Source organism: Homo sapiens, chromosome 3, assembly GCF_000001405.40.
Source record: "Homo sapiens chromosome 3, GRCh38.p14 Primary Assembly".
In the NCBI taxonomy this organism is placed as follows: Eukaryota; Metazoa; Chordata; class Mammalia; order Primates; family Hominidae; genus Homo; species Homo sapiens.
In genome coordinates this window covers 70831669-70834137 of record NC_000003.12, presented here as the reverse complement: position 1 = coordinate 70834137, position 2469 = coordinate 70831669, and the positions used below count along the sequence as shown (strand labels likewise).

Here is a 2469-nt window from a genome sequence, read left to right as displayed (position 1 = left end):
TTAAGGAAGTCAGCTATAATAAAACAAATGCCCTGGCCACATTAGAGAGCTCATCTCTAAAGTAAGTGGCATTTTATTTAGAGCAGTAAGGGTGTAATTACTTTCTACTGATCCTCAACTTACGAAAGGGAGAACAGGTCATGGAAGGTTGTAGATCTATCTTGTTTTATTTCCAAACAAATTCTATTTTTATTTTGCTCTCTTGGGTCAGGCTTTCCCGGGATCTACACTACAGGAGAGAGATGCAAAAGTGTATAGATTCCCACAGAGTGGGCAAACTTGCAATTGTATGATTTCAAAAGCTACTTACTTCCCGTCCAACTTTGCATCCTCTTCAGAATGAGAACAGAGAGTTGGACATTTACACGCATGCCTTTGTTTCCTTCTCGAAAGTGATAGAGGATGAGGTAAGGCAGTGACAGGCAAAATTGTAAGGGGTTTGCTCTTCCCCTATCAAAAGTCTGTGGTTTGGCTCCATAGGAAAGAGTTTTGTAGTCAATTAGCCAAACTATGAACTCAAAATCCACAACACAGTGCCTCAAAGAGTCCATTCCAATCTACCGTGACAAGCTACATGAACCTATTTACCACCACTGGTGAATGTTGAAGGCCAGTTCCACGAGTGAGTGGGAAATAACGAATTGCTCAGGCACATTCTGAGACTTCTGCTTTTTATGATTCTCCATTTGGGGATGTCAGCTTCCTGGAAGGCAGGTCTTTGAGATGTTAAAGACCAAATCCCCCACACTGAATGAGATGATTTCCTCCCAGCTTCCTTAAATTGCCCAGAACAATAGTTCTCAAAATTAGTATGCATTAGAAACACCTGGGGCTCCAGCCCCATAACCTCAGGTAGGTCTCAGGTGGGGCTCAGGTAATTCTGACACAGGTAGCCCACATCTGTACTTTTAAGAACACTACCTCTGGGATGCTCCAGTTCCTCTTTGGAGGGAGACTTTCATTTTTGGTGGCTCTGGGGATGACATACATGGTACAGAGGCATCTCTTTCCAGTCCCCACTGTTCCTACACATTTGGCTCAGACCTGAAACCTGGCACCAGATGAAAGGTTTGTCCTAATTTTCCTGCCACTGATTTACTCATTGACCTCTCTACTGCCAAAAACAACAAAAACCAAAAAACAAAAACCCCAAACTTAATAAATTCCTGACACATAACAGGCTCTCAAAACCCTGTGGAATGGCTGACCACAAGAATCCAGTTTTACTTCAGGAAAGAGGTCCAAGAGGCCTCCTGGGATATATCTGAGGGTCTTTGAGGTCTTTCATCTGTATCAGGTCTTTAAATAACTGTTGGAAAAAAAATTTATAAAGATCTCAGGAGCCCACTCCAAAGTCAAATACTGTCAGTTGGAATGTGCTTGGAGTGACTCGATCAGGGGGCTTTTCTGCTATGGAAAACTGGGAAGAGCTCAGCTGTCCACTGACTCAGGGGCCCAGCCACTGTCTGACAACTTCCTTTCTTGCACAAGCTGCCCACTATGCATAAAAGGAAAAAGCTGGCAGCAGATGTTTGCATGAGAGTTGTCCAGTCAAAAAACTGGCTCCAAGTCAAGTTAAAAATAGGGCTTTATAAAATAGATCACACTTGTTCAGTGACAGTTATTCACTGGTCTTTGCATCACCAAGGTCAGTGTTGCCAGCTGCTTTTGATATAGGGAAAGAATTGGCTACTGTTTCCCATGATATCTTTTAAAATGTTAATGCCATATTCTCAGCAAGTTCTCATCCCATTTTACTGTACAGGACATCAGCCTGACATACGTCAGATTGGGACATAAACCATTCATTACCGCTGGGTCCACCATCTCCCTCAGGGACAAGTGAATTGTCTGGATTCGTGGAGAGCTTACTACTACATAATGCCTGATTAAAATAAGCTTTCATCAGTTCAACACATATTTACTGAGACGTGCACTCTGACAGACCTTGTGCAAGGCCCTGCAGAAATAGCAGTGAAACAGCCCCATGTGGCCTGGCCTCATGGAGCTTTTACCCAAGTGCTGGAGTTCTTACCTCTTCTGTGCTATAGAGCTCTTTTGAAGTTTGGTGAAGCCCATGAGCCCCTTCTCAGAATACTATTTTTAAATATATTAAATACATAGGTTTATAAAGTAAACTAATGATAATGAAATTGTTAAATATATAAATACTGTGTTATAATGTATATGTGCTTCTTTACTAATGCACATTGGTTTGTTTTGTTTTGTTTTGTTTTGTTTTTTTTTTTTTTTTTTTTTTTTGAGACTAAGTCTCACTTCACTGCCCAGTCTGGAGTGCAGTGGTGTGATCTTGGCTCACTGCAACCTCTGCCTCCTGGGTTCAAGTGATTCTCCTGCCTCAGCCTCCCTAGTAGCTGGGATTATAGGTGCCTACCACCACGCCCGGCTTATTTTTGTATTTTAGTAGAGATGAGGTTTCACCATGTTGACCAGGCTAGTTTCAAACTC

General features: G+C 42.1%; 1 annotated feature.

The window, feature by feature from the left end:
• Positions 443-1021: an enhancer, noted in NCBI's record as "OCT4-NANOG hESC enhancer chr3:70882268-70882846 (GRCh37/hg19 assembly coordinates)". NCBI's record gives its function as "activates a minimal SCP1, AML or CMV promoter by ChIP-STARR-seq in naive H9 embryonic stem cells {active_cell/tissue: H9 hESC(naive)}" and the evidence as "EXISTENCE:reporter gene assay evidence [ECO:0000049][PMID:30033119]".